This window comes from Homo sapiens, chromosome 21 (genome assembly GCF_000001405.40).
Source record: "Homo sapiens chromosome 21, GRCh38.p14 Primary Assembly".
Taxonomy (NCBI): domain Eukaryota; kingdom Metazoa; phylum Chordata; class Mammalia; order Primates; family Hominidae; genus Homo; species Homo sapiens.
In genome coordinates this window covers 26,407,564-26,431,145 of record NC_000021.9, presented here as the reverse complement: position 1 = coordinate 26,431,145, position 23,582 = coordinate 26,407,564, and the positions used below count along the sequence as shown (strand labels likewise).

The following is a 23,582-nucleotide window of genomic DNA, read 5'->3' as shown; positions in this document are numbered from 1 at the left end:
GGGGAACAAGAGTAGAAGATAAATCATAAGGCTTTTGGTGGCAGTCAAGGCGATGGTTTTGGCAAGGGTGATAATGTTGAGGCACTGCTTGAAAGTGGTTGGAGTTTGGGTGTATTTCAGAAGCAGAGCCAAAGGATTTATGAATGTGTCTTGGGTATAAAAGAAAAATACCATCAAGGTTGAGCCTGAGCACTCTGATAAGTGGTGGTTTCATTTATTAAAATATGGAAAATTGAAGAGAAGAAGAAACCAGCATTTAGTTTAGAAACATAGTAAGTTTGAGATGCCCACTAGGCATCTCAATGGAGATGTCAAATAGTTAAATATGTGAGTCTAGAGTTCAGGGAGAGCTTGAGACTAGAAATAAAAATTTGGGAAACACCACCGTAATAATTTGTAGAGCCACAGGACTGGATGAGAGCACTCAAACTATGAGTGTGGATTAGAAGACAGGAGGACCAAAGACTGAGGCCTGGGTCTTTAACAACATTTTTATGGATCTGAAAGAGGAGAAGTAGCAGCAAAATGGTCCAATAACAAATGGCAGTGGAGAAGCAGGAAAACCTGGGGAATGTGGGGTGCAAGAATGCAACAGGAGAAAATATTTCAACATGGTAAAAGTTATCAACAGACTCAAACATAGTGACAGGACAAGATGAGGACTAAACAGTGTTCATGTGGAGATTGAGATAGAAACTAAAAATGGACAACCTAGGGCACTAGTGATCTCCATGTAGAGTATAGCTTGGGACAGTACCCACATAGAGTAGGTGCAACAGAAAGTAGCAGATCATGGTAATGTAGGTAGTAAGTATAAAACCATTTTTCCAGGAGAGTTATGTGGCGGTAGATGGAAAATAAAGATGTTTATATATTCTATATTTTCTAGTTACAGCTACAAAATTAGTTCTGCCCTATAACCAATGTAATGTGCATAGGTGGGGCTTTCCAAATGTACAGGCTTTTTCTTAAATTATAAATTTTAATTTTAATAATGGCCATAAAAAATTTGACCTCAGGATGTACTTTTGATACTCCCTGGAAATGTTCATCAAGAAAAAATATTAAGAAATGCAAAGCAAAATTTAGTTTCAGTTAAGCTACTAAGCATCTTAGAGTTCTTCTTCCTCTCCCAGAGGACATAACTAATTACTGCCCACACCAGAAACAATAAATATTAGTTGGATTCAATTTTATGCTACCAAATCCAGAGAAATTAAGGCTTATAGAAATAAATAAAATAACATTTAAATAAAATATCTGAGGTTATCTACAGATCAAGGTTCTGCCAAGAAATCTCAATGGTCATGTTCACAAAGTGTAGTGCAATTTGGACAAGAAACACCTTTAAAAGACATTCTGTAAAAGCCAGAAGAATGAAACTGAATTAACTAATTAAGAGATAGGTAGACAATGATAATTCCTCTACATTTGTATTTCATCTTCTTTATGTTTTATATACCAGAATAAAGAGCAAGCCTTCTCCAAGATACCGTATCCATTCTCCATGTAATTGAGTTTCTCTTCTCTGATACTGGCAACACTTACAAGATTATTTCCTCTAATTAAAATAATTTATGCTATGCACCCCAGATTAAACATCCCTTCTCCATATATCCAAGATTCTATCTTCAGGAGACTTGAGAGAATCTCATATCTTCAGCGTAAGATCACCCTTTCCTAGCCTCTACATCTCACTCAGACGTACTGAGGGGGTGTCCCAAGCCCCCCTTCTCATTACCTCTCAACATTCAGACTCAACATCACTCTTTTGTGAGGCCACCAGGATTCATCAAATTATGGTTCTTCCCACTACTTAAATCAGTTGTTCTAAGAAATTCCAACTCCCAGGTGACCAGTTATCTACTCTAGTCCCCACAACTCTGTATCCCTGTGTCTGCCCCAGTCCCTGGGTCATCCTCCACTCCCGAAATTTATATTGTGCCCTCTGGAATTCAGGTCAGACATCTCTAGCACACCCAACCACCTAAACGTGTCCTTAGGGGCTTTATTGGCCTTCTTCCTCTAAGTGAAACCTGGGTCTCCCTAGGGGTGTGATGCCCCTGAAACCCTCTCAAGCAGTGGTTGTTTTCTCCCACAATCCCCAGACCCTGGATGGGAGATTCGGAAGTTCCCTCCGTGCTTCTCATTGCCACTTCCAGACCATTCTTCTTCCATATTTCCTGAAAGCTCCAGCTTTGAAGCCTTTGTTTCTCAAAAACCTTAGCATCCAGCTTACTGCCACTCTCCACAAACTGCTTCTAATCTTGAATCTTAGTAACGTCAATACCCATATAAATGATTTTTTCAAAGTCCCTGGACTCTCGGCTCATTAAACTCCTCTTGTCCATAATCTTGATCTCAACCCTTCCTCAACCACAAACTCCCACGGTCACAAACTGGACCTTGACATGATAAATAAAAGCAACTTCTCCTAAATTTCAGTTTCAAGGATTCAATTATCTAACATACAGCAATCTTTTGGCTCTAAAAAAACTTCATTCTATTAACTTAACCCCATTTACTGTCCCTCACTGTTCTAAACTCTTCCTTTTGGTCTTCATCAAAACCTAAATTCCATTTCAGTCATTATAAATCCTCCCTGGTAAACACTCTCAATCCCTTGCTTGTCTCACTTCATAGCATTTGAACCCTGGTCAAATTCATCTCTCCACCGTCACTACACTTCCATCTCTGCAACTAAATACTGCTAGAGGAAAATGCACAAAAGTGCTGGTTGCTCTTACCGTCAATTCATGACTTCCAACTTCCAATGGGCCCAAAAATTATGTTACATTTTCCTAGTCCACTCACATTCTCATTTACTACATGATTATAAGATACCTCTCTTCTCTTCTCAAATCTTCAACCCTCCCACCCTCTCTCTCTCCCCATTAACTACCTTTAAAAAAAAAAAAAAACTTTACTGAGAATATTTAAACAATCAGAAGGAAACTTTCTCAAGTTCCCACCACCACTACATTGTCTCACTTGCCAGCATGGCCCCATACACTATTATTTTCCTTCTATTACCGTATTTCCATGATCCATAAAGTGTGGTCTCCAGGCCATCAGCAACAGCATCACTTGGGATGTTGGAAATGCAAATTCTCAGATCCACCCAGACCTATTGAATCAAAAACTCTGGAGGTGAGTCCCAGCACTTTGTGTTTTATTAGTTTTTGAGACAGGGTCTCACTCTGCCATCTAGGTTGGAGTGTGGTGGTGTGATCTCAGCTCACTGCAACCTCCGCCTCCTGAGTTCAAGTGATTCTCCTACCTTGACATCTCGAGTAGCTGTGACTACAGGCATGCACCACCACACCTGGCTAATTTTTGCACTTTTTGTAGAGACAAGATTCCACCATGTTGCCCAGGCTGGTCTAGAACTCCTGAGCTGAAGTGATCCACCAGCCTTGGCCTCCCAAAGTGATAGGATTACAGGTGTGAGACACCACACCCACTTTGCATTTTAATAAGTCCTCTGAGTGAGTCTGATGCATGCTAAAGAAATTTTAAACCTCTCTAGATGATTTCAATGTGAAAGTTTAAAGTCCACTGCTATGAATGAATGGACCTACTTCTATCTAAGGCCAGCCCCTTGATTTGAACACTAGGATCCATCTCCCTTTGGCCTCCTCAAAGACATTACTGCAGCAATTCTTTTTTCTCTCTCTTGAATTCTCAGTCTTTTTTCTCTACTAGATCATTTCCAGTTTCCTAAAACATGTTCTAGCTCCTGTTAAAAAAGAAAATAGAAAATCCCTTGACTCCACTTCTCTCTCCAGTTACTGCCCTATTTCTCTGCTCACTTTTCTAGCAAAATGCTCTTAAAAGAAATCTACACTAATTATTTCCAATGCATATCTTTCCATTACCATTCTCATTAAACCTGCTTTAATCAGGTTTGCCCCCATTAATCTATGAAGTTTGGATGTGTCAAGGACACTGATGACCTCATGCTGCCAAATCCAATGGATAAGCCTCAGTCCTTATTGTACTTGGCCGATCAGCAGCAGTTGTCACTGTTGATCACTCTCTTCTCCTAGAAATACTTTTGCCATGTCGTTTCCAGGAAGCCACCTTCTCTTCTCTTTAATGTTTCCTCCCTCCTATACGGGCAGCTCCTTCTTAGTGGTTCTTTCTTGATTCCTCCTTAGAGTTGGAGTCTCCAGGCTTTAGTCCTTGATCCTCTTCTATTTCCTTTCCAAACTCTTTCGCTCAGGGGTCTCATCTCATCCAAAGATTATAAATGATAAATATCATCTATACACTGACATGTACAAAATTTGTATCTCCCAGGAAGACGTTGTTTCGCTCAGGGGTCTCATCTCATCCAAAGATTATAAATGATAAATATCATCTATACACTGACATGTACAAAATTTGTATCTCCCAGGAAGACGTTGTTGTGATTTCCTCTGATTTGCTCTTGAGGTCTCTCTCTCTCTCTCTCTCTCTCTCTCTCTCTCTCTCTCTCTCTGGAGTGTGTCTATAAATTCTAGCCCTGCCCTCACAGGGCTCCAGGGAAGGGGGTCGTGGATGTTTACAATGTGCCTTTCACTTGATACTTCCTTTGTTGTTGTTGTTGTTGTTGTTGTTTCATTTGTTTTGTTTTGTTTTTTGGGACGGGGTCTTAGTTGCCTGGGCTGCAGTGCAGTGCTGTGATGTCAGCTCACTGCAACCTCAACCTCCCAAGTTCAAGCCATTCTCCTGCCTCAGCCTCCTGAGTAGCTGGGACTACAGGCACCCGCCACCACACCCAGCTAATTTTTGTATTTTTGGTAGAGATGGGGCTTTGCCATGTTGGCCAGGCTGGTGTCGAACTCCTGACATCAGGTGATCCACTCGTTTTGGCCTCCAAAAGTGCTGGGATTGCAGGCATGAGCCACCACACCCGTGATACTTCTTTATCCCAGTGGATGACCTAATGCCTGAGTGTCTGACTTGCTACCAGGTGTCTCTTTCACAGGAAACCTGTTTATACTGCAAGATGCCCTTGTGGCTTTTGTCTGACCTATATCAGTTTATTCCTACTAAGATCACTGCTCTCTAAGAGACCCCTGACTAGGAAAGAAGTTAGATTCAAGTGTGTTAGTTAGGTGAGACACAGAGGATGCAACACAACAAAACTCATGAAATGCAGAAACAGTTTATTAATTACAGATCCCAGAATGAAGAGGGCAGCATGCCTCTCAGGGCCAATGGGAAGGGGGTAGTCATCCAGGACATACACACTCAACCAGTGAGTGGGCGGCAAGAGAGAGAGAGAAAAGGACCTGTGAGCCAATGCCTTTACCGAAGTCCAGGGCATTCCCCAAGCAGGTTTACCAAGGGGATTTCTAATTGATAGGTTTGAGCAAGCAGGCATGAGTTCCATGGAGGTACACTGTGACTGAGAGGTGATCACTGTGGCATAGCCACACTGTCTATGCTGGGCTTGGGGGTTAAACCAAGCATGACTTGTATCGCCAGAGAAAGGTTAGGCCACAGAGGGTTTTGAAAGAGTGTATGTTTGAGAAGACAGAGGAAAAAGAGATCCACCCTGTTTCATAAATAGGAAAATAGTGTGGTGAGTCAAGGAGGTTGTATCTAGCTCTCCCATAGGGAGGTGGTTACCAGGAGGTGGCTGTATTGATGACAGTGAGAGACTAGGAGAAGGCAGAGAACTGTAAACTGTGTCACAGGTGACAAAGCCCTGTTGTTGGCATATGAAGGTCCAACTTACACTCAAAATTGATGCCGAGGCATCATAAAATTATAAGAATTCACTATAATCTCTCTTTTAAAGTCAAGACTCATAAAGCCAACTGCCTATTCCTCACATCCCAAGAGACATCTCAAGCTCAACATATCCAAAACCAATGTTTGAGTTTTCCTCAATAACTGCACTCCTTCCGCAGTGTTCTCAAATCAATCCATGGCAACTCCATGCTTCCAATTCAGAGTCATCCTCGATTCCTTGACTCCTCTCTTTCCCTCACACACCTCCCTCCAATTCAATCTATCAGCAAATCTGATTGGCTCTACTTTTAAAATGTATTCAGAAACCTCTCCATTCTTACAACCTCCACTGCATCCATCTGTTCAAACCACTCTCTCTCGCCCAAATTAGGCAAAAGCATCCTCCTTGGTCTCATGATTCCACCCTTGCCCCACGTCAGTCTGTTCTTAACTCAGCAGCCAGGGAGATACTTTTAAGTGATGTCTGCTCACATCATCGCCTCACACAGAACTCTTCCACAGCTCTCTATTTGACTCACAGTGATAGCTAAGGACTTCTCAATGCCTGACAATGCCCATGAAACTCTACTCTGCAATTTGTCTGAACTCATCTCCTGATATTCCCCTCCTCAATCCTTCCTCTATAATCACAGTGACAGCCTTGCTACTCCTCTTCACATCAGCCATGATCTCAGCTTAGAGCTGTGCCAGATGCCTTTTGTTTGCCCTTCCAGGCACAGACACTCTCCACCCTTCTCAAGCCTGTTTTATGCCCTGGAAGGATAAACTCTATGACCCATCTCAATTCTCTCCCCGGACCTCTGCTTCCAGGTCGGTTTCGTCCAATGGGGAGCTCAGATGAAGATGTAAGGAAGGGACAAGAGTGGGGTCAGTGGGTCTTTACTCCAGTGCTTCTTTCCTGCAGTGTTTATGCAGATGCCACATCCTCGGCCTAAGGGTCACAGCTCCTGGTGGGCAGACTCTCAACACAGCTGTCTCTTACTCTAAATTCTAATAGCTACTTTCCTGCCACTCAGGCAGGCTTAGTGATGATGATAGCACCCCACTGTCTTCGTCTCCTAAATACTATACTGCCCCTTGTCATTTCCCTATAACCTGCTCACAGGTTTATAATTAACACTTTTAAAAACTCTCTTCACAATATCCAATTTGATTGTGTCATCGATCTCCTGCTCTGAGTGATGCAGGGCCTTTGCATTTGCTGTTTCCTCTGCCTGCAGCAATCATTTCCAAGATACTCACACCGCATGCTCCTGCCTTTTTCAAGTCTTTGTTCAAATGTCCCCTTCACATCAAGGCCTTCCCTCTTCTACTGACTTCAAATTTCCCTTCTCCTCCCTCCCTTTTCCCTATACATCTTTCATAGCATGATTTTTATCCATGGTACCTAATTGCACTCTAAATATCAACTGATTCAAATTTACTTATTCATTTTATTTATTGCTTATCTACCACCAGCACACCCTGCGCTAGAAGCTAAACTCCCCAATTTTGGTTCTATTCACTGCTCTAACAGCTGCAGGTGGTAGCATGCAAAACAAAAACAAGATGAGAACAAACAAACAAAAACAAAAATACCTCCTAAATCCCCAACAAGGTTAAGAGAGCTTGACGATTCTGCATGTTTTGCTAAACGAATCCGTGATCGGTTCAGCCTTGTCCTAACCCAGTTGAATCATTACCTAGAGATTTTGCTGAGTCTCACCACTGGTGACTCAAGATTCATACTTGCACAGGTTAAACCTAGAAAAGACAGAGTTGCCCTTCAAATTCCACTTTTAAAGTACATGTTATAGTCCAAAAATCATTTCAGTTGCTTAATTAGACATACAGCAGAGTCTCCGAAGTATACAGCAGCAACAGCTCTTCAGTTTGATACACGTGATTACTCAGTGTTTTCTATCTCCTGGCAGTTTATTGATCCTCTATTTTGTGGGTTTGTAGTAGAAAATAATTTTTCTACTCAAGTAATTTTGCATGGATGAATTCCCAACATCTCAGTGCAGTTATTCCAGATTGATGTAGGAAACCCAGCAGCCCTACATTTCTCTCAGCCTTTGGGTCTGTAAAATTCTCTGTATAATTTTCTTGCTCCCTCAGTTCATCTTTCCATCAGTAAAATCAGGAAATTTTTATTCTTTTCTGGATGAAGCTCTCTTGACACCAGCCTGCCCAGGATCCGAGTACATAACCCATAAATAATTTAAAGTTTGAAAAGCCGTCACTCTGATGATTCTACTTGCATCTTGTTCTTAGAAGGTCCCTTTCGTGTGAGGATCTGACAAGTTTTTTTACCGGCATTATTGGAGGATGATAGTCGACTCTCTTCCTTTTTTCCACCATGACCCCCTTTGGAAGTCTCTACTGCTTTAAGCCTGCTGTGAGAACTCCATTCTTCCAAAAGATGATAAAATAATGCTTTCCAAGGTTTATACACTGTGACTAATATTGTTGGAAGGATCCAGTCTTTTACACTCTGGTAGAGATACAGGATAAAATTAACATTGGCAATAGCTGAAATTGATGTCCACTGCCTATGTATATTTCAAAATGACAAATATCAACTGATGCTGCAGAAGAATCATTTTCTTTCAATTGCACGGGAGGATTAATAACGCCTTGATTTATTGGGATGGAATGTGTTTACTTGGAAGGGGTCTGCACATAACTTTCTGAAACAGACAGTTAATAAGTAACTAACCAACTGTTCAATAGTTAAGATTGTTGGTTGCTATATATTATAATAATAACTTTTATTTCATTTGTGGTTAAAAAGCCACTCATTCATTATTGGAAATGTGGAATACACAGAAATACAAACTAAAGGAAAATAAAACTCACCCTATTCCCATGTGGCAGATACGGAGGTGTGTCAGACAGACCCCTTCAAGGAAGAATGTGCTGCCCAGCTTTGAGGAATGTCACTGTCAGATGGCCTCCACCTGTTCTCTCCTTCAGCAACTGCCTCAGTGTTCAAGCTGAGGTCCTGCTCATTTCAGAACAGCCCCAGCCAATAAGCATGCAAGGCCAAAGTCAAGGAAGTGATGCAAAGGCCTAGCCATGTCCGTCCGCTGCGGCCCCCTCTGGCAGATAACCTTTGCTCCTGAGTTCCCACTGGCCTAGTAGAGACTGTCAAGCCTGCATCACAGTCTGATAATTCCTCTTTCTTCCCCTTTCCTTTCATGGATATAACTCCCCAATAATCTTTCTTTTTTAAATTGAGGTAAAAATACACCTAATATAAAACTTACCATCTTAATCATTTTTAAGTGTACAGTTTGGTAGTGTTAAGTCTATTCACTGTTGTGCCACAAATCTCCAGAACTTTTTCATTTCACAAAACTGAAACTCTATATTCATTAAACAAGTCTCCATTTCCCATCCTGCCAGCCTCTGTTAACCACTATTCTACTTTCTGTCTCTATGAATTTGACTACTCTATGTACATCATGTAAGTGGAATCAAACAGCATTTGTCTTTTTGTGACTAACTTGTTTCACTTAGCATAACCTCCTCAAGGTCCATTCATGTTGTAGCATGTGTTAGAATTTCCTTTCTTTTTAAGGCTGAATAATGTTCCACCGTGTGTCTACACCATATTTTTTAAATCTATTCATCTGTCCATGGGCACTTTTGTTGCTTTCCCCTTTTGGTTATTATAAAGAATGCTGCTGTAAAAATGGGTGTGCAAATCTCTTCAAGACCCTGATTTTAATTGTTTTGAACATACTCAGAAATTGAATTGTTGGATCATATAGTAATTTTTGATTGTTTGAGAAATTGCCATACTGTTTATGATAGTAGCTAGTAGCTGCACCATTTTACATTCCCACCGACAGTGCATGAGGGTTTTGATTTCTCTACATCCTTGTCAACACTTGTTATTTTCTTTTTGTTTCATAGTAATCATCTTAGTGGGGGGTAAGGTGGTATTTCTTTATAGTTTTGATTTTTATTTCTCTAATGATTAGTGATGTAGAGTATCTTTTCATATGCTTTTTGGCCATTTGTATAACATCTTTGGAAAAATGTCTATTCCATTTATTTGCCTATTTATTATTCAAGGGTTTTATTGTTGTTGTTGTTAATTTGTAGGAGTTCAGAATATTTTAATATTCTCAATATTATCTCTTACCAGATATATGATGATATGGTTTGGCTGTGTTCCCACTCAAATCTCATCTTGAGTTTTGGTTCCCATAATCCCCCCGTGTCATGGGAGGGACCTAGTAGGAAGTCACTGAATCATGGAGGTGGTTACCTCCATGCTGTTCTCATGATTGTGAGTGAGTTCTCATGTGATCTGATGGTTTTATAAGGGGCTTTTTCCCTTTTTCTTGGCACTACTACTTGCTGCTGCTTGTGAAGAAGGATGTTTTTGCTTCCCCTTCCACCGTGATTGTAAGTTTTCTGAGGCCTCCTCAGCCCTGTGGAACTGTGAGTCAGTTGAACCTCTTTCCTTTATAAATTACCCAGTCTCGATTATGTCTTTATTAGCAGTGTGAGAAGAGACTAATACAGTAGACTGGTACTGGTAGAATTGGCTGCTGCTGTAAAGATACCCGAAAATGTGGAAGTGACTTGGGAACTGGGTAACAGGCAGAGGCTAAAACAGTTTGGAGGGCTCAGGAGAGGATAGGAAAATGTGGGAAAGTTTGGAACTTCTGAGAGGCTTGCTGAATGACTTTGACCAAAATGCTGATAGTAATATGGACAACAATGTCCAGGCTGAGGTAGTCTCAGATCAAGATGAGAAATTTGTTGGGAACTGCAGTAAAGGTCACTCTTGCTATGCAAAGAGACTGGAGGCATTTTTCCCCCTGCCCTAGAGATCTGTGGAACTTTGAACTTGAGAGAGATGATTTAGTATATCTGGAAGAGGAAGCTTCTAAGTGTCACAGTATTCAAGAGAAAGCACAGCATAAAAGTTTGAAAATTTTGCAGGCTGATGATGCAGTAGAAAAGAAAAACCCATTTTCTAAGGAAAAATTCAAACTGGCTGCAGAAATTTGCATAAGTAATGAGGAGCCAAATGCTAACCACCAAGACAACAGGGAAAATGTCTACAGGGCATGTCAGAGAGCTTTGCAGCAGCCCCTCTTATCACAGACCAGAGGTCTAGGAGGGAAAAATGGTCTCCTGGGCCAGGTCCAGGGCCCCCCTGCTGTGTGCACCCTCCAGACTTGGTGCCCTGCATCCCAGCTGCTCCAGCTGTGGCTAAAAGGGGCCAAGGTACAGCTCAGGCTATAGCTTCAAAGGGTGCAAGCCTCAAGACTTGGCAGCTTTGTGGTGTTGAGCCTGTAGGTGCACAGAAGTCAAGAATTGAGGTTTTGGACCCATACCTAGATTTCAGAGGATGTATGAAAAGGCCCAGATGTCCATGCAGAAGTTTGCTGCAGAGGCAGAGCCCTTATGGAGACCCTCAGCTAGGGCAATGTGGAAGGTAAATGTGGGGTTGGAGCCCTCACACAGAGTCCCCACTGGGGCACTCCCTAGTGGAGCTGTGAGAAAAGGGCCATCATTCTCTGGACCCCAGAATGGTAGATCCAACAACAGCTTGCACTGTGCACCTGGAAAAGCCACAGACACTCAAAGCTAGCCCATGAAAGCAGCTGGGAGGGGGCTGTACCCTGCAAAGCCACAGGAATGGAGCTCAAGGCCCTGGAAACCCACCTCTTGTATCAGGATGCCCTGGATGTGAGACATGGAGTCAAAGGAGATCATTTTTCAACTTTAAGGTTTAATGACTACCCATTGGATTTTGGACTTGCACGAGGCCTGTAGCTCCTTCGTTTTGGCCACTTCCTCCCATTTGGAACATAAGCATGTACCCTCATTGTATCTAGGAAGTAACTAACTTGCTTTTAATTTTACAGGCCCACAGGCAGAAGGGACTTGCCTTGTCTCAGATGAAACTTTGGACTTGGACTTCTGAGTTAATGCTGGAATGAGCTAAGACTTTGGGGGACTGTTGAAAAAGCATGATTGTGTTTTGAAATGTGAAGATACGAGATTTGGGAGAGGCCAGGGTGGAATGATATGATTTGGCTATGTCCCCACTCAAATATCATCTTGAATTGTAGTTCTCATAATCCCCATATGTTGTGGGAGGGACCCAGTGGGAGGTAATTGAATCATGGGGGTGGTTACCTCCATGCTGTTCTCATGATAGTGAGTAAGTTCTCACAAGATCTGATGGTTTTATAAGGGGTTTTCTCCTTTTGCTTGGCACTTCTCCTTGCTGCCGCCATTCGAAGAACATGTTTACTTCTCCTTCCACCATGATTGTAAGGTTTTCTGTGGCCTCCCCAGCCCTGAAGAACTGTGAGTCAATTAAACCTCTTTCCTTTATAAATTACCCAATCTTGGGTATGTCTTTATTAGCAGTGTGAGAACAGACTAATACATATGATTTGCAAATATTTTTCCCATTCCATATGCTGCCTTTTTACTCTGTGGATTATACACTTTCATGCACAAAAGTTTTTAATTTTGATGTAGTCCAATTTATTTATATTTATTTTGTTGCCTGTGCTTTCTAACCAAGAAATTGGCGTCAAAACCAGTGTCATCAAGTTTTTCCCTTATGTTTCTTCTTATAAGAGTTTTATAGTTTTAGGTCTTTCATTTAGGTCTTTGATCCATTTTGAGTTAATTTTTGTATATAATGTAAGATAAACATTTAACTTCATTATTTTACATGTGGATACTCAGTTTGCCCAACACCATTTGTTGAGTCCCCAATAATCCTATCGCACTCTTCAATTTATCACACTGTCTACCTCTCAGAAAATCCAACCAGCATATCTCTGAACCAGAGGTAGCTACTACTAAGATTTTGTATTTATCTGTGTCATTCACACACACACACACACACAGTGCTGTATATGCTGCTTTTTAACATAAAAATTAATTGTATATGTGTTTCTGTTTCATTAGATATTTTCAACACTATCAAGTTTTAAAACTCTGCAGTGAGGCCAGGCATGGTGCCTCACACCTGTAGCCCCAGCAGTTTAGGAGGTTTAGCTGAGCAGATTTCAAGACCAGCCTTGGCAATGTGGCAAAATCCTGCCTCTAGAAAAAAAAAATTCAGAAATTAGCCAGGTGTGGTGGTACATGCCTGTGATCCCAGCCAGGCACGGTGGTGCATGCCTGTGGTCTAAGCTACTTGATGGCTTGAGCCTAGGAGGTGGAGGTTGCAGTGATCCGAGATCGTGCCACTGCACTCCAGCCTAAGCAGCAGAGGCAGGCCAAAATAAAACAAAACAAACAGACAAAAAACCTCTGTATTGATTCATAATGTGGAAGTATCGATATTTATTTAACCAATGCTTTTTTAATGGCCATGATGTAGATTCTTATGAAGGTGCTTTCTTAGGTGAATAGTTCAATTTGATGTCCTCCAGGGGGATGATCGCTGGAGGGTTCTATCTGGCTATCTTGCTCTGCCTCCTCCTAAATTGTCATATATTAAAATATTATTTTATTTTAAAACTTCTATTTCTTTTAGAAGATTGACTTACAAAAGAAATTCTATGCTTGAATTATAGGAAAAAATTTGTAACAAACTGATTATTCTTTCAATTGTGCTTGTTTTCATCTTCTTTTACCTGCTTATGTAAAATATGCAAAAATAAATATTTTAAGCTTCCGTGCCCCGCATAAAATAGAATTTGCTAGATGAGACCTAAGAACACACTTTATCCAAGCCTGGTTAGGGCTGAAGGGTTTTGCAATTCCTTGAGGCACAAGATTCCCCAGAATGGCAAAGCTATTTGTTGCTACTGTTACTGCATTTGATCTCAACAATGACCAATACTAAGAAGCCCATTCTCCATCAAGCTCCAAGATCTCTTTGTTCTGGAACTCCTAACCCCAGAAACCTACTGATTTCACTGGCTCACAAAACTCTGAAAGATTCCTGACTCCAGGTTAAGAACAACAAGACAGGCACCAAGTTTCCCCTTGGCCTCTTACTGGTTCTGTGATTTTAGTTACAGCACTGGAGCATCCTGAGGCTTGTTTTCTCTCATCTCTAAATTTGCAAGAATAATTCTATTCTCCTTAACATTGTTTTGAGTTTCAAATAAGATAACATGGGAAAATAACTTATGAACAGAAGGAATAATACAAATTTCAGTTGTTACTTTTAATAAGTAGTGAAATGGTGCAAATGTGCAAATAACCAGTGACTTCATTGTCCTGGGCTTCTGGGGAAAACAGGAGAGCAGTCAAACCTCAATCCTAACGTGTAACAAAAAACTCACCACAGCTATTCACATATTTGTTAAGTTTAGCTAAGTAAGGCTCCAAAATACTACTCATTGATTGACTGGCTGCAGGCTTCCACCCTGTCAGTAGCAACTTTTTAACTATCATTGAGTATTCACAGCAGACAGTGTCAGAGATTCTAGAGTTCTTACACATTCACTGGTGACCAACTGGTCTAAGTTATGCTTACCATAATGAGCATAGATTCCAGGCAGTGTTGGCATAATACCTTGGCAGAATAAGCAAATGCCACTGGTTGCAGGCCATTTGATACTACCTATGAGTGAAGTCACTGCCACTCAGATGTGAAGAAATTGCAGATTGCCGTGCTTATTGTTGGGAAAAGCTAAAGCCTACGTACAAATTCCAAAGGGCAGAACCAACGTCAGATCCTACGTCTTCCATCATCCTCTGCCCCTGAAGTATAAAGAAACAACGCTATCTGAAGCTTCCTAACCATCTTACCTTCATTGTCTTCACTTGCTTCTCCTCCTTCCTCCACTGCAATAAAATGCATCTGAAATGAATAAGCTGCCACTTATTTAAAGCCTCACTTTTGAACACAAAGGGAATATTCACCATGGTCCCTCTATGTGATTATAAATACCTGTGTCCCTGTTCTAGTTAAGAAAGGGAGACTCTGTTTTGTGATTCCTATACTGAAATACTCAAAATATTATATTGCTTAGTCTTTCAATCAAGTGTAACTAAAGTCAGTATAAAGGATCTATCCTGTTTCTAAAGGAAGGATCAAGGCTACAGAAACAGAAAGTCAACTTGACATGTTGATAACTCTGGATACAGTGCAGTATCAAATGAGCATCCTAACCCTGCTCAAAATCTTCTCCTGGTAGCATTGTCATGGGGACTGTTAATACTAATGTGCTGAAAGAAGAAATCGACTTCAGTGAAGAAAAACAAATTTGTTGGTGGGGAGTTAAGATCAGAGCTTCTATTCTCCAAGCTCCTGTGCTTTAGTAGGTAGAAAGAAAGGGATATAAACAGGGAATAAATGAAAAGGAAAGAAAACCTATTTTACATGTAAAGATGTAGCAGTATTTGTCCAGGTTGCAAGCCTAAATAAGCTGAAAAAGATATAGATAGCATCTCTTCTCCCTCACCTCACACACCAATTTGAAACAAGTCAGTAATCTATCTCTGAGGTCTCTCAACATAATTGTTATCCAAGAATAATCTTTCCATTATTTCCTTAGAGTCCATCCTCTCTCACATCACCTCCACAGTCCCCTCCCAATAATCGTCCCCTGACCCCTGTCCTGCTCCGGTGACCTTGCCATACCTTCATACACCTTGGCTGTGCCAATCCCTTACTTTCTATCTACTCCTTCATCTGCCAGATAGATCCAGCTTCCTTAACCCTGAGTACATTTCTTTTGATAAGTTGAACAATGACCCTGATATCATGAAATAAAGAAAACATATTTCTGTTTTTATCTTGTTTGCCCTCATCGTGGTATTTACCATTGTTGGACATGTCCTTGATTCAGAATCCTTCCTCCTTAGCTTCTAGGATATCAGTCTCTTCTACCTTTATTCCCACTTCTCCTTCTGTTCCCTTTCAGACTCCTTTTATAGGTTTTCTTCCTGTCAATGTTTAGGTTTCCAAGGCTCCATCTTAAGCCCTTGGCTCTACTCAGTCCACTAACCATCCCTAAGCCAGCTTATCTGTGTATGTGCAGATGGTTGTCCTATAACTCATGATCCCTTACTGGGCTTCAACCCGGTATATACAACTGCTGATGTCCTACAGGACCCTCACACTCAATGCATCTGAGCCCCTCCCAAGCCTGATCCGCCTATATCTCTGTGAATGGCCCTGCTTGCCACTCAGTGGCCATGGCCATACACCTCACAGCCACTCTAAACACTCTCCTCTCACTTGCCCTTCCTCATCCAGTAGTCACCATTCTATAAATTCTATCTCCTTTATTTGTATCAAAGTCATTTTTTCCTTAATTCTTCACTGCCATTATTTGTACTCATCATTTTCCTCCAAGTTTAGTGAAATAGCATACTAATTCATTTCTCCGCATCTACTGTGCTGCTCTCCCATTTCAGTCTCTATTCTAGCCACAAGTAGAATAGTGATTAAGAATTTTGAGATTTTAAACTAGGGGTCTGTGAATTATGAGCACACGCTGGCCATAGTTTTTATGGGAAAGTTCTCTAAACTTCAATTTCCTTAACTCTAGAATGAACCTAATAATATTTTTCTTAAAGGTTTGTTAGAAGAATTAAATGAGATGCTATATAAGTAACTCCTAAAACATTGCCATTTGTTTTTAAAATAAATAAATCTTCAATAAATAAAGAAACCCTTCTATTAATTATTTTACTTTGTTGATTATAATCCTAAAATTACTTTTTAGAGCACCCAAAATATGTTCAGATTCCTCATTGTAGCTTCCATGAACTTCATAAACTGGCTTCTGCCTACCTTTGGTTTCATCTACTTAACCACCCTCACATGCCTTCTCTTCACCAGACACATGAGACAATTGTGGTTTGCTGAACAACCTGTTGTATCCTCAGCTTATCCACATTGCATGCATGTCAGGCATCTGAAGAGGTGAAGACACAGATGAAGTTCTTGTACCTATGGAGTTTATGGCACTAGATTGTAGGGCAAGGGGATACAGTGAAGCCAAAAAACACTAATAGAACAATCCGAGAAAGCTTCAATGTAGCACTATGTGGATGGGGGTACACCAAAGGTATTATTCCCATTCACGTGGAAGAGCCTCTGAATGAGACTGCGGCGAAAGTGATCATTATCTAGGAGCTTTTGAGGTTTGAGCTGAGTTTTAAAGAATGAATAGGAATCTTCTAAAAAGGAGAAAGACATTCTAGATAGAGGTGACAACAATGCGGGTACTCTGAGGATACAACAGGGCATTTAGGAAACCACAGTTTTCCCACGTGTCTGGTGAAGAGATGGCACATGAGGGTGGTTAAGTAGATGAAACCAGAGGTAGCCAGATTATGAAGTTCATGGAAGCTGCAGTGAGGAGTCTAAACTTATTTTGGGTGCTCTGAAAAGTTATTTTAGGATTATAATCAACAAAGTAAAATAACTGTACTAGTCCATTCTCACGCTGCTATAAAGAACTGCCTGAGACTGGATAATTTATAAAGAAAAGAGTTTTAATTAACTCACAGTTCCACAGGGCTGAGGAGGCCTCAGGAAACTTACAATCATGGTGGAAGGGGAAGCAAATACCTTTTCGTCACATGGCAGCAGCAAGGAGAAGTGCCAAGCAAAAGGGGAAAAGTTCATTATACAACCATCAGATCTCATGAGAACTCACTATCACGAGAACAGCATGGAAGTAATCACCCCCATGAGTTAATTACCTCCCACCGGGTCCCTCCCACCACATGTGGGGATTATGGGAACTACAGTTCAAGATGAGATTTGGGTGGGAACACAGCCAACCCATATCAATAACTAATCAGATATGTGTTGTAGTAAAGGAACATTAATAGAGGCAAATTTCCTTTATTGACTGAGGATTTACTTTTTAAATAAATATTTAAACTTATTTTAAAACAGGCAATGTTTTAAGAGTTGTTTATATATCATCTCATTTTCTTGTTCGAATAAAGCTCTGAGAAAGGTATTTTTAGGTTCATTCTAGAGTTAAGGAAACTGAACTTTAAAGAACTTTCCCATAAAAAAAAATGGCCAGTATGTGGTCAGAATTCATAGACCTCTAGTTCAAAACCCTGAAATTCTTAATTTCAGTACAAGTATGACAAAGGAAAGGAAAAAAAGAAGGAATGAAGTAAGTGGGAAGGTAAGAATAAATGAAAGAAGAAAAAACAAAGCTATTACTTACTATGGTAAAGTTCCAGGATCTTTTTTCTTCAGCTTCTAAGAACTCACAGATTCCCATTTTCCTCCATCAAGAGCTGCTATAACCTCCCATGGAGAGAGCTCCTGCCATCATTTCCCTGCATGCAGTCTCCCAGGCAGCTCTGCTTCTGTGTTTCTATTCAATGGAACCCCTGCCTCCAGCTCTGTTTAATCCACCTTGATCTGCAGCTCGTCACCCTTACAAATAAGCCTTTATTAGTTCGAGAAAGATTTATTCCTTTGAGTTTTTATGTTGCCCTTACAATGAGGAGAACAAAAAGACAACATGTGAAAGGAAGTAGAAGGAGGAATTTGTGCTTGTATTATTCCTCCGTAGTAACTCAGGGATTGATTGAACAAATACATTTTGAGCACCTGCTCCTTGCTTGACAGAGCATTATGGTCAAGAAATACAATAATTGATAAACCAAGAAGCTGGGTTGGCAATAAACTTACAGATTAGTGGGTTCTTTCATTGAACTTTTGTGTGTGTGTGTGTGTGTGTGTGTGTGTGTGTGTGTGTGTACCTACTGCATGCCAGGCACTTTTCTAGGTGCTGGGAAGATAACAGGAGCCAAAAGAGAAAAAGTTCCTGCTCTCGAGGAGGTGAGACTTTAGTAAAGAAAGCTGGGTTGCTCTAAGTATAAAAGAATGGAAAGGAGCAAGTATGGCCACTGGGAGATTAATTATCTGCTTGAAACTGTTCAATCAAGAGGAGACTGGACATTTCTTGGAGTGGGGCAGTAATGGTGGTGAAAATTATTGAGTTCTGTAGAGAACCGGATCTGCTAACAGATTAGACATGAGATATTAAAAAGAACAATGCTGACTTTTTTTTTACTTTTTCTATATTTGTTTAAGGGATGAAGTATCACTTTGTTACACAGGTGTCTGGAACTCCTGGCCTCCGGTTATCCTCCCACCTCAGCTTCCTGAGTAGCTGGAATTACAGGCAACTAGCCGCCATGCCCCACAAAAATGGGCCAATTCTGACACCAGTGATTTTGCTGTGTATACCTAGAGAAAGAGAGTTCATTGTTTTTGTTTGAGTTGAGAAAGTCAGTAGGAAAAGTGGGCTTTTTTTTCAGTGAAATAAGAAGCAAGATCAAAATCTGAGAGTAAAGAATGGAGAGGAAACGCTAGAGGTTGAGGGAAGAAAATTAAATGTCTGGAAGAGCATTTCATTAGTTATTTTCTTTGTGGTCTGAAGGTGAGAGAAAGATGAGAGATAATTGTTTGATTTTAGATTTTATATGTTCAAGATTCCTGGAAATAATGACAGCAAACATTTATATAGTAATTCCCATGTGCCAGGACCCATTCTAAGTGACTCGTATACATTATTTTATTTAATCCACACAAAAATGTTTTGAGGTAGGGTCTATTGTTAACTCCATTTTTTTTGTTGTTGTTTGTTTGTTTGAGATGGAGTCTCACTCTGTCGCCCAGGCTGCAGTGCAGTGGCACGATCTCGGCTCACTGCAAGCTCCACCTCCCAGGTTCATGCCATTCTCCTGCCTCAGCCTCCTGAGTAGCTGGGACTATAGGTGCTCGCCACCACGCCCGGCTAATTTTTTGTATTTTTAGTGGAGACAGGGTTTCACCGTGTTAGCCGCGATGGTCTCAATCTCCTGACCTCATGATCTGCCTGCCTCGGCCTCCTAAAGTGCTAGGATTATAGGCGTGAGCCACCGCGCCTGGCCCTGTTAACTCCATTTTACAGATGAGAAATACGAAGCACATCGAAGGCAAGTAATCTGTAGTGGTCACATAAGTTGGCTGATGAAGACAGGACTTGAACCCAGGCATCATGATTGCAGGGTCTGTGCTCTTTCCTACCCCCCTGTTCTATACGTAAGTATGCAGATGAGTGAGTACAGACTTCAAGTATGCAGAAAAAGCCAAAGATATCACCACGGGGAACATCGGCATTTAAATGATATTTAAAGCCATACGACTAGATAAAATGGTGTAGAGAGTGAATATAGGCGGAGGAGAGATTCATGTGTTAAGTTCCCAGTGTTTAGAGACAGTAACATGGGGAAGATTCAGCAAAGGAGCTAAGAAGGATGGTGGTGGGGGGAGGACACAAAGAGAACCAAGAGAATGTGGTGTCTCAGAGTTCATGTGTGTAATTATCTCCCCCAAAACCTCAACCTTCCAGATAAGTCTAAGGGTGAGAACTTCACACAAGATGAATAAGAACCAATTTCTTCCAGGGCGATGTTGAACCTGGAAATGAAAGCCAATCTCTCTTGGAAGGCCTGGTTTGTAGAAATGTCAGTCTTTGTTTCAAGCTGTGGGAGAATGAGAAGCAAGACTTTAGGGAAAGAGGAATAAAATAGATGTGCAGAAATAACAGAGTGAGAAAGTCTTCAGGGTGTCGCTAGCCCTAATTGCAGGCATCCCTGAATCCTAGACCTTGGATTGCAAGAGACTCCTTAATATCTTCCCATGTCCACATTTGCTTCACATAGTTTGAATGTGGCTTCTATTATATACAGATACAAGATTCAAATCCAACCTCTATGATGACTGGTCTTGTGAATAAGCAGAAGAGGCACTAACAATATGACGTGAGGGATTCAGGGAAGAGCACTTTCTTGAGCACATATCTTCCCTGGTCTGCCAGCTGTAGTTTATGAAATTCCACAATGAGGATGAAATGGAATCACCATTTACAGAGTACTCTCCAGATGTCTAACCCTAAGCTAGGTACCTTCAAAATATTATCTAGTTTAGATAATCAACCCTTTGGACTAGAGAAAAAGCTTGTTCTTCTAGAGTCCATGGAAGCAATGTCTCTTCTATACAAGTAGGTTCAAAATATTATTGTATATGTCTTTGCTCCACTGTTATACTGGAGCAATATTAATTATAAATAGGCTGGGCATGGTGGTTTATGCCTGTAATCCCAGTGCTTTGGGAGGGCCAAAGCAGGAGGATCACTTGGGACCAGGAGTTCAAGATGAGCGTGGGCAGTGTAGCAAGACCACATCTCTACCAAAAAAAAATACAAATACAATATTTAGAAATGTCAAAATTATAATTGAATGAGAAGAAATCAGTGAGACAAGGAAATGTGAATTATCGAACTGGAGACTAAGACATTGGAAATAAGATTAGGGACAGAGGACAGAGGGCTAGGAGTAAAGTGAAAGCCGCAAAGAAGACAATAGCAGGCAGAAGTAAATCAGGTATGAAAAGAAAAGGCATGAAAGCTGTAGGCAGCTGTTGAAAAAAACATGACCAGACTAATAGAAACCGTCTGGAAAAGAGAAAGCCTTGCTCATGGAAATGGCTATTAAGGGAATTAATTATTGCTCAATATGTCAGACAGGCATTCTCAACTGGATTATAAGGTTTGAAGCGATTACACAGAAAGGAACAAATGTCCTTAGTTATCACAAGTTCAAAAAAGAGGATCTGCCTGGATTCAGATTAGAAGCAAGAGTAGAAGAAGAATGTGACATGAAAAATAAATGTCTGTGAAAGCCAATTCTCTATTCCACGGAAAGCTTTCTGTTTCTAGCCGGTATAAATAACAGGATGTTATACTTGTAATTTAGCTACCAAAACACAGAGGTATCTAATGCATATAATATGTGTGTGTGTGTGTGTGTGTGTGTGTGTGTATGTATATATATCTGATTTGGTAACTAAAGTACATACATTACATATATAATATGTTCTACCAAGCATATTATTAAGAAAGGATTATGGGAAGGATTTAAGGTCAAGGTGACAAGGCTGCCATTTGGTGCAAAGAAATTCTTAGCAGAGTTCATTGCAGTGGGAAGAATCAATGTACAACCTTTACAATCATACCACTTTTAGAAACAGGAAATCTACCCAATGCTTTGTTTTAGTCATTTTTCCTTTCCCAGCATTCAGAGTTCTATCTGCTTACTATCTGTGATATCTGCTAACAACCTATGAAATGTTCATTCAATTTTTTGAAACTCAAATCTCCCCTCCCATTTGTACTTTCCCATCTGAGTCTCATTTGAGAGTTGTCCCTCAAGCAGTTCTCTAATCAGCGTGTGTGTATGGAAAGACTATTTCTGAATGAAAGAGATTGCAATGCTTTTAAAAATGGCAGGTTCAAATGTGACTTGAACACTTTAAAATGTTGACCCTTATCACAGATACAAAAAGAATACTAAACCTGGAAGGAATCTGGGCATCATCTGGTACAAAATGTTCATTTTGTTCACAAATAAACTAACACCCAGATAGACTAGAGACTGGACCAAGGCCACACTGAACAGATCACACAGCTAGAAAGAGATCAAAGGTGTTCCACTCCCAGCCCCAACTTCCTTTTAAAATATACCTTCTTGGACTTTTTAAAAACTTACATAAATTCCTGACAGCATTTGAATCTAGACATGAATAGCTAAAATAAAGGGGACTACTAAAAAGGCAGTGAATTAAGTCAAGAATCTCAACCACACATACCATTTTTTCTCACAGAAACTATTAGCAATTCAATGAATGTTGGAAGGGGAGGGAAAATTGTAAATAGTAAAAGAATACTCTATAATTAAAGTTTTATGTTCTAGTTATCTATGTACCACATGGATGATTACCATAAAGTTATCAAAACATTCCATTCATTATACATTCACCAAAAATAACTCTGGAAAAAAAAAATAGTAGAATCCTGGAGGGATTGGTTACAGGCAGAGGGTAAGCAATTGAGGGTGTCCTGGTCCTTTTTCAGTGTAAGTACTGGCAGCAGAACACAAACATGTCTTCATCCAAAAACAAACAAAAAACCCATAAGGTTGGTTGGACAGGTAGGGCAGAATGGTGAATGTTCTATATTAAATTCAAAAACTGTTCTAAGCCGAAAAGGAGGTTTCTTACAGTATGAGAATGGAAGCACTGATTACATAGTGAAATGAAATAGAATTTTTTTTTCTTTTTTTCTGAAACAAGATCTCACTCTGTCACCTAGGCTAGAGTGCAGTGGCACCATCTTGGCTCACTGCAACTTCCGCCTCCTGCGTTCCAGTGATTCTCCTGCCTCAGCCTCCTGAATAGCTGGGACTACAGGCACCCACAACCACACCCAGCTAATTTTTGTTTTTGTTTTTGAGAAGGAGTCTTGTTCTTGTCCCCCAGGCTGGAATGCAGTGGCGCGATCTCAGCTCACAGCAACCCCTGCCTCCCGTGTTCGAGTGATTCTCCTGCCTCAGCCTCCTGAGTAGCTAGGATTACAGGTCTCCACCACCATGCCTGGCTAATTTTTGTACTTTTAGTAGAGACGGATTTTTGCCCTGTTGGCCAGGCTGGTCTCAAACTCCTGACCTCAAGTGATCTGCCTGCCTCGGCCTCCCAAAGTGCTGGGGTTACCAGCATGAGCAACCATGCCTGGCCAAAATAGGTTTCATTTAAGTCTCCCAAGTTTCAAGAAGGGGCTTGCCTTATCCAGATCTAGCACCTCCTTCCTGTAAATGATGCAGTACTAGGGGAGAGAAGACATCTACTGATTGCTGTGAGGTCCAGAAATTCAGGTGAAGTCTCTTTCATGGCAGGGAAGGGAAGGTGGAAAGACAAGCTACTCAGTGTAGGAAGAAGGGTAAGATATGAAGCCTGCAGGCCTGTGGGAGAAGGGAGAATCCAGCAGAAACCCAGCTGAGTCAGGTGCCAACAAATACTGAGGACTGGGCCATTCCAG

General features: G+C 40.8%; 1 long non-coding RNA gene across 2 annotated transcripts in view; it reads right to left on the bottom strand.

Moving 5' to 3' along the window:
* CYYR1-AS1 (CYYR1 antisense RNA 1) overlaps positions 1–23,582 on the bottom strand; it is a 175,618-nt gene that overhangs the window by 138,107 nt on the left and 13,929 nt on the right. The window lies entirely within an intron of this gene.